Here is a 16,613-nt window from a genome sequence, read left to right as displayed (position 1 = left end):
GAAGGGGCTGCAGGAACGAAGCCGCCAGGCCTCAGGGGCGCCTCTCACAGGCTGGCTTCTCTAATTCCCCACATATGACCTGGCATCAATCAGGCACCTCACTTTACAGATGAGAAAACTGAGACTGGAGGAAGTCACATAGCTGGAGAATGTGGGAGCTGGGGTCCTCCCATGGCAGTCAGAGACCCTATCTTTCTTTCTCTTTTTTTTTTGTTGAGATGGAGTCTTGCTCTGTCGCCCAGGCTGGACTGCAGTGGCACAGTCTCGACTCACTGCAAGCTCCGCCTCTCGGGTTCACGCCATTCTCCTGCCTCAGCCTCCCGAGTAGCTGGGACTACAGGCGCCCGCCACCACGCCCGGCTAATTTCTTTTTGTATTTTTAGTAGAGACGGGGTTTCACCATGTTAGCCAGGATGGTCTCGATCTCCTGACCTCATCATCCGCCTGCCTCAGCCTCCCAAAGTGCTGGGATTACAAGCGTGAGCCACTGTGCCCGGCCAGAGACCCTATCTTTCTATACCCAAGTCCCCAGCTACACACATGGCCTGAGTGCTGGTCCCCACCCTCTGGCTGGCTCGGCCCAAGAACATGTCTGGGAAGAACAGAACAGGTTGGTGGCATCAGGGAAGGCTTCCCGTAGGAGGAGGAAATTGGGGCCTGGTGTGAGGGAAGGCCAGGCCCTGGGGTGCAGGGGGAGTGAGGAAGGTGCCCTGGGTTCGTGGTCATTTGGGGGCACAACCTGAGAAAACCACCAGGCGACCTCCAGGGAGACGATGGCCTCGGCTGCGTGGCCGGGGGTGGTGCCTCCCTAGTCAGCTACTTGGGCAGTGGTGCAGCAGCCCGCAGTGCAGCCCAGGTTGGTTGTATGGGAGGTGGGCACTGCATGGACGGGGCAGTCCCATCTTCCAGAGCCCGTGTGTGCTGCTGGCCTCTGCCCAAGATGGGAGGGTGCACTGGAGGAAGGCTGTAGATTGGCTTCCAACCTCCCAACGCTCAGGGCCTCACTCTCTGTTGTGCAGCTGGGGAAAGTGAGGCCCAGGAGGCCGACTCGGGGAAGGAGCGTGCTGTAGTGATTGGAGCCCCAGGCCAGGCTCGTGGCCCGACTCATCTTGGGAGGTCACAGCAATCGGTGAGGTGGGTTCCTCCTCACTTCAGCGAGGGTCCACCATGCTGTGCAAGGAGCTCGTCCCAGCCAGAGCTCCGTCTCCAAGCCACAGGCTCCCCTATCCCCCTCCATGGCTTCCCAGGAGCAGAGGCTGTGTCTGGGGCTGCTCCCTCGACACTAAGGATGGGCTGAGTAATAAATCTCCCTTGGACCATGTCCAGGAACAAGGGGATTCGGTGACTGCATGGGCTGGGGATGCCAGAGGCCAGAGGCAGCAGGGAGGGAGGAGAGGGGTGGGCGGGGAGGAGGAGGGTGGGCGGGGAGGAGAGGGGTAGGTGCTGCTGCTATGCCTGGTACAGTCACCGGCGGGTGCAGCAGACACCTGACAGAGATGGGGCTCAGATGGGTGCACCCAGGCAGAGCTTAGCAGTTACCGCCCAAGATTCCTGCCTCCTGGCCCTTTTTTTTTTTTTTCTTTTTAAGACGGAGTCTCACTCTGTCTCCCAGGCTGGAGTGCAGTGGCATGATCTCAGCTCACTGCAACCTCTGCCTCCCAGGTCCAAGCTATTCTCCTGCCTCAGCCTCGCAAGTAGCTGGGATTATAGGCGTGCACCACCATGCCTGGCTAAGTTTTATATTTTTAGTAGGGACGGGGGTTCGTTATGTTGGCCTAGCTTTTTAATTAAACAGGAATCCACTTTCTGCTGTGAGGGGACTCTCCAGATGGAGTCATGGTCCCAGGTCAGGCCCCCTTATGACGTGGAGGTCATGGGTTTAGCCTGGCCCAGTCAGGTGAGCCCATTACAAGCCGAGAGCAGAAAAAGAGGCAGAGAGAGTTGGAGAGTGAGGGGTGTGCGTGAGGCATCCTGAGAGGCCCAGGGCTCTAGAGGGGCCCCAACAGCCAGGAAACAGGGCCTCAGTCCCAACCCAGAGGCACCCAGTTCTGCCACCAGCTTGGATGCTCTTGGAATAATGCAGGAGCCAGCACCCGGATGTGAGACACGGGGCAGCGAGTCCAGCTAAGCAAAGCCTGCCCCCAGCCCAGGGAAACTGAGTTGACGAATGTGGTGCTGTCCAAGGCCTTGCCTTGTGGTGAGCTGTTACCCAGCAGCAGGAGACAAGAGCATTCGCCTTTGTCCTTTCTCCCACCCAGGCAAGGGCACGCAAGTGACACACGTGCAGGTGCACACACACAAACGTGTGTACTTGTTCGCACATGCAACACACACAGATGCATACATGTGCACTCACACGTTCTGACGTACACACAGGCCATGCATGCCTGTGCATACACATACATGCACTCACACACACGCACACGTGTACAGACCCACATGTGCATACAGAAGCCCCCTACCCAAACTCTGAGCCGAAACACATGTGCCAACACACAGAGCCCCCATGCAGAGACCTCACACACAAACCCACTCAGAAATAAATGCTCAGGAACATCCTTGCCGCCAGGTGAGAACACTGAGGCCCAGGGCAGGTGACTCTGGGGCAGAATCATGAAGGTTGGGGCAGTGGGGGCAGGGCCAGTCCTGGCACCTGCGTGAGGTCCTCTTCTCCGCCCCTTCCCAGGTCGTGTCCCTGATTCATCCTGGCCCAGAGTAGAGCTCAGCAACTGTAAATTGGTTCCTGGGGAGGGCCGGGGATGTCCGGGGGGGCTTCATCTCCTATCTTCCCCGCAGGTCCTGGTCACTTACTTGTCTGTGGCTGCAGGACGAGTGCCCTGACCACAGCCCCTGGGCACAGGAGAGGTCGTGGGCCCCATACGTGCCCTCTTCCCCACTAGGCCAAAGAGGCCCCGCTCACAGTCCTGGAAACACAGACCAAGACCCTCCCGGTGCTGCAGGGTGTCCTGCCCTGGGCAGGGTGAACTTCGGCCGCCGCCATCCCCTGCACCAAGAGGCTTTTGTTCCGAAGGTGTCTGTGCTTTGGACGTGTGGCTCAGGGGCCTTGGGTGGCCCCCCCATGGTATGTTCTCAACGGTAGAATCTTATCTGGGAAATGGGTGTGGGAGGCGGTGCTAGGGAGGGCTCCTAGGGGATGCCCAGGGAGTGGGGGGCTTCAGCCTGCAACTGGGAAAGACTGGGCGGGAAGCACTGTTGGGTGGGGGGTGGGGTTCAGGCAGGGGCAGGCAGCAGGGCAGGGTCCGGCAAGGGGTATTGGGGCAGGTGGGCTGGACCCAAGCTAAGGTGCCCCAAGGGCAGAGCCAGTGGGGAACAGGCAGCGTGCCGCCCCCACCCTCGGAGTGGCCTTCCAGCGCCTCGCTCCAGTGAGGAGGAAAATGAGAGCCAGCACCTCCCTCTGCTCCACGTGCCCTGGGCGCTTCTCGTGGGGGAGGAGCACATCCAGCTGTGGCGCCCCCAGCTCCTCCCCTCCCTCCACCAGCTGTGGGTCAGAGAGAGTCAACCCACGTGCTCTGTAATCGCCTGCCTGGAGCTCTTCAATCTTTAAACAGCACTTTCTGGAGCTGAGCTCCATCAGCAAACGCTCTCCAAGTGGGGGCGGTGACTGTGACAGACAGAAGCCAAGTGGGACCCTGCGGTCCGGGGCGGCACAGCCCCACCTGGCCATTTGCCCATACTGTGCATCTGTGTGCCCAGCCTCCTCTCACCCAGCTGCCCTTCCAGGCTGGGCTCCAGGCTACAGCCCAGGGGGCTTCGTGGATGCCAGCTGCCCGTCCCTCCCCTGCCAAGAGCTTTCAGGGGCTCCCACGCCTGCTGCTGCAGACGCCTCCCCCGCCACCCATGCAGCCTCCCGTCTGTGGCCTCAGATGCCCCTCAGCTCCTGAGATGCTCCTGGAAGCACTAGGTCCTAGAGGAAGAGCCCTCGATCCACCGGTTCCCCTACTGCCCCCGCTGCCCGCCAGCATCTCTGCTCAGCCAGGACTTCCTTGAACCTCTCCTTCGGGTTGTCCTTTGGACACCCCCCCCAGCAGGATTCTTCCCCGAACCCCTCCTTCCATCCCACTGCCCTGGGCTTCTCTGCACATGGCTTGGGGGGCCGGACTGTCTCCCTAGTGGGGATACATCCTGACCCGCCCCGCCAAGCCTAAGTCACCCCTAGTTTTCTGGGGCTGAGGGCTTCTGGGGCTAGAACTGGGACAGTCCTGGGCAGCTAGGACAGCAAGGAATGGGCAGGTCCAGGCTGCCCCCGCCAAACCCTCTCCTGGATGGGAGCCTAGGATGGGCAGTCCAAACCTGTCCTTGGGTGTCCGGGTGATGGCACCAGGCCACGCCTGGGGAGCAGGTGCAGTCCCCAGCCAGCGGGACTGGCAGGAGAGCCGCTGGGCCCAGCTGGAGGGCAGCCTGGGGCCCAAGGAGCCTCCTGGGGGAGGTGACAGGTGACCAAGCCCATAAGTAGTGGGGTAACGGGGGCCTGGAGTTGGCAGTGTCGGGGAGGGACAAAGACAGGCCAGAGCAGCTTCTCTAAGGAGTGGGGGTTGGGGTCCTGGGGACTTTCTGGCAGGCTTCGTGTTAACAGACTGGAAAGCAGAGGCCCTCCAAGGAGGCCCTTCACCTGCCGTGGGGAGAACAGGCAGCGGGAGGGGCCTGTCTCCATATTTCCACATGGGAGGATTCCCGCTTTATGGGCTGAGGAAAGAACTTGCTGGAGGGGGAAACCCACTTTCACCACCCGGGCGCTGGGGAGGCGTCCCCCCAGCCGAGTGAGCTCCCAGCCGCATCCTGACACACCTGGGCACCCTTCACCTGGCCCCCACACCAGCCCGTGCTCAGGCCCCACCAGCCTCCTCCCCAAACCTGCCGTAATCCCCGGCACCCACCCCAGGGAGTGATGCCATCCCCTCGCTGGGCCAGACCCTGGGGAGGGGCTCTGGGCAGGAGGGTCTGGCAGAGCCCTCAGCCTGCCCCTCCCAGGCCTCTGAGAACGTGGAGACAGAGACCAGCCATGAGATCTAAACAGGGGCGCCTCCCGGGACTGCTCCCGGCCTCTGCACTGGTTAACATCCCTGGGCCTTCGCTGTAGGAATGGCCGGAGGGCTGGGGTCAGAGGGGCAGGGTTCCAGCCTAGAGGCCAGAGCATTCCCTGGGGTTCCCGAAAGCTGTAAACCAGGGTCAAAGCCGTCCTAGGTTTCTGCAGGTCCAGCCGGGGACTGAATGTGGAGAAAAATTCAGCCCCATTCTGAGACCCTCCCCCTTGTTCCCCCTCAGGGAGCTGTGCAGACGCCGGCTTAGGACCAGCCTCCTCGGCTGCTTGTGGGAGGGCAGGGCTGATGCGGGGGCTGCTGGGTCCATTCACGGCCCTGCATCCCTTCAGGCAGAGGGACACACGTCCAGACGGACACACACCCACCATACCCCACACTGTCCAGCGCAGAGCCTCTTGACCCATGACACCCCAAATTCCGTATTTTGTGGGGTGAGATGATGTGGCTTTGCCAGTGAGATGCGTGTAACTCAGTCCCACAACAGCTGAACAGCCCCCATCACAGTCACTGAGCCGCGTCCCGGGCTCAGATACCACACACCCCACACCACAGAGCGGGGCGCTGGGTGCGCAGTCCGGCTCCGCTGCCCGGGAAGCGCGGCAGGCCCGCTGCCGGTCCCCACACCTCACCTCGCACCACACAAGGCAAGTTTGTCTCAGAATAGAGGCGGATCTTCCCATCTGCCTTTTAACAGACCTTCAGAGCTGGCAAGCCTGTCACTTGCTCGAGCCAAACACGGCGAGTTCATTCACTCCATAAAATTTTATGGAGTTCCTCACACGGTCCTTGAGCAGGGACTCAGAGGACACAGTCTCCAGTCCTCCCGCCCTGGCCCTCCTGGAAGCGAAGCCCTTCCTGCCTCCTCCTCACACGTGGGCCTTTCTGCTCCATCAGAGGCGCTGGCTTCCCGCTCCCACCAGCTATTAGCAGTTAGGTGATCTTACTAGGCTCTGATGAGCATCTTGACAGCACTACACCCTTATTGCCCCAAAGCGCTGGAGGTTTCTCGACACTTTCCTAAGCATGGTTCTCTCCAAGAGGCCTGTTTCAATTCAAAACGGCAATGACACGGTCCCCCTGTCTGCAGAACAGCAGAGTGCCCCTGGCAGTCCTGTGCTGGGCTCCCCGAACTAATTAATCTTTTCATTTAGAGGCCACGGAGCTGAGAGACATCACATAGAGTCAAAAGCCGACTCAGTCGCTGCGTCAGGGAGATGGAGAGGGAGAGGGAGAGGGAGTAGGGTGGCTGCGGTGGCTGGGGCGGCCTGGGTGGTGCCAGGAGGGCAGGCTGGAATCCAGTGGGGAAACACCAGGTCCCACAGGAGCGAGGGGGATCAGGGAGGTGATGCTTATGAATTCCTGCAGCACACAAATGAGACACATTCATTTCTGCTTTCAACAAATAATCTTTATTAAGTGGAGTAAAATGTCTCAAAACCAGGACAGCTGCAGAGGCCGGAGCCACAAGCCTGCTCTATGAAGGGACCCCCCACAATGCCCTAGAGTCTGGTGGGAGTGTGGGGAGGGGGCTGCTCAGCCTAACCTGGGCTTAGGTAGCTCAGGACAAGGAGGGGCAGAAAGCAAGCTGGGATCCATGTGGGCCTGGCTCTGGGCAGCTCCTGGGCACCTGGGCCTGGCTTCCCCGGGGTGGTGTGGTACGGCATTTAAGGGGACCTCTGGGAGGGCAGCAGTCAGCCTATTCACATCAGCAGGAACCCATCATGCTGCAGTGGACCCAGGGAGACAGGCCAGTCTCTGGGACCTGCTCACAGCCACGAGCCACCCTGGCCAAGCCCTGCCTCCCCCAGGCCCTTGGTCCTCCCGGGCATCTCTGAGCTGGAGAAATACATGCTTTCCTCCATTTCACAGATGAGGAAAGAGAAATGGAGTGGGGGACAGGCCCCAGGGCCCCCTTCCATCCTATGCACAGAGGCCCAACCGCTACTCTCTTTCCATCTGGGGCCCCGGGGATGCTCTTCAGTATTTTCAGTGGCCCTCCCCACCTCCACCCCCAGGGAGCCTGGGGTAGCCCAGCATCCAGCATCTTGAGAACAGGCACGTCACCTCCCTTCACCCAAGGGCACCAGGTCCGGATTCAGGGACCACAGGTTGCTTAGAGAAGCATTGGCTACGGAGCTGCCCTCTGGCCAGGCAGATGCCCGCGGGTGCCGGACCAGGGGGGCCGGCAGAGTCTGACTCTTCACCAACACCCCTCCCTGCCAGGCTGCGTCGGAGGCTCCAGCCCCACAGGTGCTCCGTGGCAGGCTGGCGGGATGATTCAAGCACATTAAATTTATCATGCACTTTGTTTCTATTATTATTGCATTGTAATATACAGTGAAATAATTATGCAACTCACCATAATGTAGAATTAGTGGGAGCCCTGAGTTTGTTTTTCTGCAACTAGATGGTTCCATCTGGGGGTGATGGGAGACAGTGACAGATCATCAGGTATTAGATTCTCATAAGGAGCATGCAACCTAGGTGCTTCGCATACACAGTTCATAATAGGGTGTGTGCTTCTATGAGACTCTAATGCCACTGCTCACCTAACAGGAGGCGGAGCTCAGGCTGTAATGCTTGCTCATCCACCACTCACCTCCTGCTGTGTGGCCTGGTTCCTAACAGGCCACGGACTGGTACTGGTCCATGGCCTGGGGATTGGGGACCCCTGTTGTATAGTATCTGGACTGTTATCTTCTGAAGTGTGTTGCTATTTGTTCTTGAAAGCCACAACTTTGCTAGACATAAACTTCATAACATAATATAAACATAAATTTGAAGTTTTGCTAGACATAGACTTCAAACCATGTTTCTCCTTTGGTGGACCTCTGCTGAACTATCTGCTGGATTATTCCAGCCTTTCAGCAGTAGCTTTGTGCTGGGCTTCCTGGAGCTTCCTTTGTGCCCGTGCAGTGCAGCTGTCAGCCAAAAATTTGAGCAGCATTTGTGTGCAGATCTGGGGGATTCTCTCTCTCTGGCTCTCTCCTTTCTGGGATTTTTCTTCTATTTCTAGCTGGCCTGGAAGTTCCAAACACTGTTCTCTCACCCCTTCAGCCAGTAAGTTTGCAACTTTCTGTTTAAGTTTTAGTTGCTATACGTCATAAAAATTGGGGATTTTTCTGCACCAAAAGGTCGTAGAAACATGAACTCAATCAACGCAGTTCTTTTCTTTCAACTGTAATGCTTTTCTTTCTGTAATGCTTGCTCATCCACCACGCACCTCCTGCTGTGTGGCCTGGTTCCTAACAGGCCACGGACTGGTACTGGTCCATGGCCTGGGGACTGGGGACCTCTGTTGTTTAGTATCTGGACTCTTATCTTTTTCTGTTTCTGTTTGCTTTTGGCTATTCTCTGGTGTCTTCACATAGATTTTTAAAATATTTTGTCTAAGTTTATATTTGTGATTTGTAAAAATGTTGGTCTGATATATACTCTTCTGATGTTTTGCAATGTATATGTTATTTAACCTGAAAGATAAAAATAAGAATATCTTAATCTTGTATTTCTTTGATTATAATATGAACACTTTTTAATAATTTTTGGTGATTTGTATTCCTTCATTTATGAGTTGACCTTTGCCAATTTTATGTGGGATAATAATGCTTTTGTTGATGATTTTAAAGAGATCTCTCTTTGTTCATGATATTCATTGCATAAATTTTCACCATTTATTTGCTTTTCAAATCTGTTGCTTATGATTTTGATACACGGAACAGGTAGTTATGTAGACAATGCTTTTATGCATGTAAGAGACTTTACTATTTACTAAATGTTTTATCAGAAATGTATTTTTAAATTTTCTGAATAATATTTCAACATTTATTCAGGTTCTATTTTGAGGCCTATTGGTATTTTGTATTATAAATAAAATAATACAATGTGTTATATTAAACCATTCTTCCTTTCCCATGTTAAACCGTCATAGATTGTTGATTAAACACACAGCTGAATTTTACTTGCTTATATTTCACTTTTGATTTTGCATGCAGTTTTATATTCCATAGCAGGCTTTCCCAAAGGATGTACCCCAGATCACCACTCCCAAGAGATGCTTCCAGGTAGAAATGGTTTTTTGCTTGGACGAATAAAATTGGGAAACACTGCAGGCTGTATTCCTGCCCTTCTTAAGAACCACAATGCACATTTGCATATCAAAGGCTCTGAGAAGTTCTGCTTTAAAGATTCTATTGACTTTGTTTAATTCTTTGGTAAATCTTATGAGATAGTGGAAACTTCTTTTAATGTAATGGCTATTTCTTGTAGACTGAAGAACAGATGGTGGATTATATTTGTCAGATTTTGGTTTCAGGGTTACTCTACTTTTATAAAATTACTTTTCCAAATTTACACATTTCTAAAACTGATACATACTTTTGGAATTAATTATGCCTTAAAATTTCACAGCATCTCACCAACAAGAACGCCTGAGTCTGGTACCTCTTTTGGATGTAATTCCTTTCTATTTAAACATTTTTCCAAGAATAATTCTTTATTCATGTTGCTCAGTTCTTTTAATGTTAACTTTGATCATGTATTTATTTCCATTCAGATTTATCATCATATAACCATGCAAATAATGCCTTGTTCATTTTTAAAATTGCATGCACATTTACTGTCTTTATTATGGGATTTTAAATGTTCCTTAATTGCTATTTCTTATGCTTTCCCCTTTGTAGTAACTATTAATAGATTAGCCAGAGTTGAGTCTGTCGTGTTAGATTTTTAAAAGACTTAACTTTTTAATTTACTTATCTCTTAGCTCTTAATGTACTTACTAATCCTCATTTTTCCCTTTTCTAATTCAATAATTTCTGCTATCATCTGCTATTTTGTTCTTCCTTGGAACTGCTTAAAAAACTTATTGACTTGAAAGTTTTGATTTTTTTTTGTGCTAATGAAAGCATTTAAAGATGTGACTTCATCTTTGAGGACAGCTTTGTTGAAACCCATTTGTTCTTAACAATTTCATTATTTCTCTGCTATTCTAGAGTTTGAAAAATATTTTTTCATTTTCTACGAATGTTTACAGAAGTACCTTTAAATTACCAGTTGGTAAGGGTTTTTTATTTAGACTTATTAATAATTTCTAGTTCTAGTGGTTCAAGGTAAAGTAGTTTTGCTTGTACAATTTTAACTTTTTGAATATATTGAAGTTGTATGTGTATATGTATGCATTTTCTTGCTAGGAAATGTCCTGTTGGAAATCTTTCACTTACCATTTGAAATATTATTTTTAATTACTCAAGTAATCATGATTATATTGTCATTGTAATAAAACACAAACAAAAATAAACCTAAAATAACTTTGACCTCCACCCCTAATTTTAGTCTGCTTTCCCCAGAAAATCACTATTACAGTTTGTTATAGTCCATTGGGCTACTATAACAAAATACCTTAGACTGGGTAATTTATAAACAACAGAAATGTATTGCTCATGGTTCTAGAGTCTGAGAAGTCCAAGATCAAGGTGCTGGCAGATTGTCATTGTCTGGTGAGGCCTTGCTCTTCCTAACAGATGGCATTTTCTCTGTGTCCTCACTTGGTGGAAGGGGCCATGGAGCTCACTCAACCCTCTTTTATAAGGGCATTAATCCCATTCATAAAGGTAGAGCTCCCTTGACTTAATCACTTTCTAAAGGTCTCACCCTTTAATACTGTCACATTGGGTATTAGATTCCAACATATGAATTTTGGGGGATGTCAACGTTTAAACCATAGCACAGTTGTGCTTTCTTTAGGGCACTTTTCTATGTGTTTGCATATAAATATATAACCTACAAAAATCTATAACTTGACTCATATATGTCTAAACAATTATATGTATTGTTCTGCAGCCTGGTTTTGTTGCTGTCAACATAGCTTCCATATTTGCCTTTTGCCAGTTTATTTAAATCTACTTTATTCTTTAAAAGTTCTACCTAGTGTTTCACAATATTAATAGATAGTAATTGATTTAATCATTTCCCTGTTGATGGACATTTAGGCTGTTCCCAATTTTTCTCTACTGTAAACAGCATTGCAATGAACATCCTCATACATGCTTCCACATGCACATGCACTATGTTTTTCAGGTAAACTTTTTTGAAATATACCATACAAATGAAAATGTGCACAAATCATACTGTTACAACTCACAGAAGCACCACAAAGTAAATACATTTGTGAAAGCAGTATTCACATAAAGTCACAGAATACTGCTAGCCTCCTCCAGAGACCTCTCCTGTATCTTCTTCTGCTCACCGTGTCTCCTCCCAAGAGCAACTGTAATCCTGACGTCTAACAGCACATATTAAACTATGTTTGCCTGGTTCAAGCTTTAAAGAATGGAATCATTCAACATACCTTCTTTCCTATCTGGTCCTTTCACTCAATAGTTTGCTTGTAAGGTCCATACGTGCTGTCGTGTGTAGTTGTGGCTCACCACTCTCATTGACACCCAGCATCCACCATGTGAGCATTCCATCAATTATTTGCCCATTCTACTGTTTGGCGGAGGGGTGGCATTTTAATGTCCAGTTTTGGGTTGTTATAAATAGTGCTTCTATGGTCATTCTTGTTTATACTTTTGGTAAAAAATATTTACCCATTTCTGTTGGGTCTATACCTAGAAGTGTAAGTGCTGCATCAAGTGTTAACAGACTTTGTCAAATATTTCCCCAAAGTTTTGTACCACTTTACATGCCGACCAGCAGTGTGTGAGAGTTCCAGTTGCATCACAGCCTTGTCAAAATGTGGTTTTTCATCTTTCCATTTCAGTCATTCTGGTGGGTATAATGCTAACCTAATACTGGTTTTCCCTTACATTTCCCTACCAACCAGTGGCATTGAGCATTTTTCATATATTTATTGGCCATTTGAATATCCTCTTTTCTGAAATGTCTATTTAAATCTTTGACTGATATTCCTATTGGTTTATCTGTCCTTCTTTTAATGATCTATAGGGGTTTTAACACATTCTGGGCATAAGTAGTTTGTCAGATACATGTTGCAAATAGCATCTCCCATTCTGTGGTTTGCTTCTTCCCTGTCTTAATTATGTCTCTTGATGAGCAGGAATTTTTAAAGTTTAATATCACCACCAGGCCTGCCTTATAAGAGCTCCTGAAGGAAGCACTAAACATGGAAAGAAACAACCAGTACCAGCCACTGCAAAAACATGCCAAATTTTAAAGACCATTGATGCTAGGGAGAAACTGCATCAACTAATGAGCAAAATAACCAGCTAACATGACAATGACAGGGTGAAATTCACACATAACAATATTAACCTTAAATGTAAATGGGCCAAATGCTCCAATTAAAAGACACAGACTGGCAAATTGGATAAAGATTCAAAACCCACCAGTGTGCTGTATTCAGGAGACCCATCTCATGTGCAGAGACACACATAGGCTCAAAATAAAGGGATGGAGGAAGATCTACCAAGCAAATGGAAAACAAAAAAAAGCAGGGGTTGCAATCCTAGTCTCTGATAAAACAGACTTTAGACCAACAAAGATCAAAAGGGACAAAGAAGGCCATTACATAATGGTAAAGGGATCAATTCAACAAGAAGCGCTAACCATCCTAAATATATATGCACCCAATACAGGAGCACCCAGATTCATAAAGCAAGTCCTTAGAGACCTACAAAGAGACTTAGACTCCCACACAATGATAATGGGAGACTTTAACACCCCACTGTCAACAATAGACAGATCAACGAGACAGAAAGTTAACAAGGATATCCAGGAACTGAATTTAGCTCTGCACCAAGTGGACCTAATAGACATCTACAGAACTCTCCACCCCAAATCAACAGAATATACATTCTTCTCAGCACTGCATCGCACTTATTCCAAAATTGAACACAGAGTTGGAAGTAAAGCACTCCTCAGCAAATGTAAAAGAACAGAAATTATAACAAACTGTCTCTCAGACCACAGTGCAATCAAACTAGAACTCAGGATTAAGAAACTCACTCAAAACGGCTCAACTACATGGAAACTGAACAACCTGCTCCTGAATGACTACTGGGTACATAACGAAATGAATGCAGAAATAAAGATGGTCTTTGAAACCAATGAGAACGAAAACACGACATACCAGAATCTCTGGGACACATTTAAAGCAGTGTGTAGAGGGAAATCTATAGCACTAAATGCCCACAAGAGAAAGCAGGAAAGATCTAAAACTGACACCCTAACATCACAATTAAAAGAACTAGAGAAGCAAGAGCAAACACATTCAAAAGCCAGCAGAAGGCAAGAAATAACTAAGATCAGAGCAGAACTGAAGGAGATAGAGACACAAAAAACCCTTCAAAAAATCAATGAATCCAGGAGCTGGTTTTTTTGAAAAGATCAACAAAATTGATAGACTGCTAGCAAGACTAATAAAGAAGAAAAGAGAGAAGAATCAAATAGATGCAATAAAAAATGATAAAGGGGTTATCACCACTGATCCCACAGAAATACAAACTACCATCAGAAAATACTATAAACACCTCTACGCAAATAAAGTAGAAAATCTAGAAGAAATGGATAAATTCCTCGACACATACATCCTCCCAAGACTAAACCAGGAAGAAGCTGAATCCCTAAATAGACCAATAACAGGCTCTGAAATTGAAGCAATAATTAATAGCCTACAACCCAAAAAATGTCCAAGACCAGACGGATTCACAGCCGAATTCTATCAGAGGTACAAGGAGGAGCTGGTACCATTCCTTCTGAAACTATTCCAATCAATAGAAAAAAAGGGAATCCCCTCTAACTCATTTTATGAGGCCAGCATCATCCTGATACCAAAGCCTGGCAGAGACACAACAAAAAAAGAGAATTTTAGACCAATATCCCTGATGAACATCGATGCAAAAATCCTCAATAAAATACTGGCAAACCGAATCCAGCAGCACATCAGAAAGCTTATCCACCATGATCAAGTGGGCTTCATCCCTGGGATGCAAGGCTTGTTCAACATACGCAAATCAATAAACATAATCCAGCATATAAACAGAACCAAAGACAAAAACCACATGATTATCTCAATAGATGCAGAAAAGGCCTTCGAGAAAATTCAACAGCCCTTCATGCTAAAAACTCTCGATAAATTAGGTATTGATGGGACGTATCTCAAAATAATAAGAGCTATTTATGACAAACCCACAGCCAATATCATACTGAATGGGCAAAAACGGGAAGCATTCCCTTTGAAAACTGGCACAAGACAGGGATGCCCTCTCTCACCACTCCTATTCAACATAATGTTGGAAGTTCTGGCCAGGGCAATCAGGCAGGAGAAAGAAATAAAGGGTATTCAATTAGGAAAAGAGGAAGTCAAATTGTCCCTGTTTGCAGATGACATGATTGTATATTTAGAAAACCCCATCATCTCAGCCCAAAATCTCCTTAAGCTGATAAGCAACTTCAGCAAAGTCTCATGACACAAAATCAATGTGCAAAATTCACAAGCATTCCTATACACCAATAACAGACAAACAGAGAGCCAAATCATGAGAGAACTCCCATTCACAATTGCTTCAAAGAGAATAAAATACATAGGAATTCAACTTACAAGGGATATGAAGGACCTTTTCAAGGAGAACTACAAACCACTGCTCAATGAAATAAAAGAGGACACAAACAAATGGAAGAACATTCCATGCTCATAGATAGGAAGAATCAATATCGTGAAAATGGCCATACTGCCCAAGGTAATTTATAGATTCAATGCCATCCCCATCAAGCTGCCAATGACTTTCTTCACACAACTGGAAAAAACTACTTTAAAGTTCATATAGAACCAAAAAAGAGCCCGCATTGCCAAGACAATCCTAAGCCAAAAGAACAAAGCTGGAGGCATCACGCTACCTGACTTCAAACTATACTACAAGGCTACAGTAACCAAAACAGCATGGTACTGGTACCAAAACACAGATATAGACCAATGGAACAGAACAGAAATAATACCACACATCTACAACCATCTGATCTTTGACAAACCTGACAAAAAAAGAAATGGGGAAAGGATTCCCTATTTAATAAATGGTGCTGAAAAAACTGGCTAGCCGTATGTAGAAAGCTGAAACTGGATCCCTTCCTTACACCTTATACAAAAATTAATTTGAGATGGATTAAAGACTTAAATGTTAGACCTAAAACCATAAAAACTCTAGAAGAAAACCTCGGCAATACCATTCAGGACATAGGCATGGGCAAGGACTTCATGTCTAAAACACCAAAAGCAATGGCAACAAAAGCCAAAATTGACAAATGGGATCTAATTAAACTAAAGAGCTTCTGCACAGCAAAAGAAACTACCATCAGAGTGAACAGGCAACGTACAGAACGGGAGAAAATTTTTGCAATCTACCCATCTGACAAAGGGCTAATATCAGAACTTAAATTTACAAGAAAAAATCAAACAACCCCATCAAAAAGTGGGCAAAGGATATGAACAGACACTTCTCAAAAGAAGACATTTATGCAGCCAACAGACACATGAAAAAAAGCTTGTCATCACTGGCCATCAGAGAAATGCAAATCAAAACTACAATGAGATACCATCTCACACCAGTTAGAATGGCGATCATTAAAAAGTCAGGAAACAACAGGTGCTGGAGAGGATGTGGAGAAATAGGAACACTTTTACACTGTTGGTGGGACTGTAAACTAGTTCAACCATTGTGGAAGACAGTGTGGTGATTCCTCAAGGATCTAGAACTAGAAATACTATTTGACCCAGCCATCCCGTTACTGGGTATATACCCAAAGGATTATAAATCATGCTGCTATAAAGACACATGCACACATATGTTTATTGTGGCACTATTCACAATAGCAAAGACTTGGAACCAACCCAAATGCCCATCAATGATAGACTGGATTAAGAAAATGTGGCACATATACGCCATGGAATACTATGCAGCCATAAGAAAGGATGAGTTCATGTCCTTTGTAAGGACATGGATGAAGCTGGAAACCATCATTCTCAGCAAACTATCGCAAGGACAGAAAACCAAACACCACATGTTCTCACTCATAGGTGGGAATTGAACAATGAGAACCCTTGGACACAGGGTGGGGAACATCACACACTGGGGCCTGTCATGGGGTAGGGGGAGGGGGGAGGGATAGCATCAGGAGATATACCTAATGTAAATGATGAGTTAATGGGTGCAGCACACCAACATGGCACATGTATACATATGTAACAAACCTGCACATTGTGCACATGTACCCTAGAACTTAAAGTATAATAAAAATAAAAATAAAAAATAAAGTTTCATATGGTTCACTTTATCATTCTTTTTGGTAGTTAGCGTTTTTGTGTTTTCTCTTTTCCCCTTTTATTTTTAGTTGACATGTAATAATTGTACGTGATATTTTAATAATACATGTATACAATGTGTAATGATGAAATCAGGGTAATTAGCGTATCCATCACCTCAAACATTTATCATTTTGTTTTTGGGTTTCCTATTCAAGAAATATTTGCCTACTCTAAGGTCACAACAATGTACCCCTGTGTTTTCCTCTAAAGGTTTTTGTTTGGCCATTCACATTTAG

General features: G+C 47.4%; 4 annotated features.

Moving 5' to 3' along the window:
- Window positions 507-1,007: an enhancer, noted in NCBI's record as "H3K4me1 hESC enhancer chr14:104893691-104894191 (GRCh37/hg19 assembly coordinates)". NCBI's record gives its function as "activates a minimal SCP1, AML or CMV promoter by ChIP-STARR-seq in naive H9 embryonic stem cells {active_cell/tissue: H9 hESC(naive)}" and the evidence as "EXISTENCE:reporter gene assay evidence [ECO:0000049][PMID:30033119]".
- Window positions 2,258-2,877: an enhancer, noted in NCBI's record as "H3K4me1 hESC enhancer chr14:104891821-104892440 (GRCh37/hg19 assembly coordinates)". NCBI's record gives its function as "activates a minimal SCP1, AML or CMV promoter by ChIP-STARR-seq in primed H9 embryonic stem cells {active_cell/tissue: H9 hESC(primed)}" and the evidence as "EXISTENCE:reporter gene assay evidence [ECO:0000049][PMID:30033119]".
- Window positions 2,878-3,497: an enhancer, noted in NCBI's record as "H3K4me1 hESC enhancer chr14:104891201-104891820 (GRCh37/hg19 assembly coordinates)". NCBI's record gives its function as "activates a minimal SCP1, AML or CMV promoter by ChIP-STARR-seq in primed H9 embryonic stem cells {active_cell/tissue: H9 hESC(primed)}" and the evidence as "EXISTENCE:reporter gene assay evidence [ECO:0000049][PMID:30033119]".
- Window positions 7,920-8,149: an enhancer, noted in NCBI's record as "active region_9115". NCBI's record gives its function as "activates an Ori minimal core promoter by ATAC-STARR-seq in GM12878 lymphoblastoid cells {active_cell/tissue: GM12878}" and the evidence as "EXISTENCE:reporter gene assay evidence [ECO:0000049][PMID:35858748]".

Source organism: Homo sapiens, chromosome 14 (genome assembly GCF_000001405.40).
Source record: "Homo sapiens chromosome 14, GRCh38.p14 Primary Assembly".
Classification (NCBI taxonomy): Eukaryota; Metazoa; Chordata; class Mammalia; order Primates; family Hominidae; genus Homo; species Homo sapiens.
Note: the sequence above shows the minus strand (reverse complement) of the source record. Positions and strands in the feature narration are given on the sequence as shown.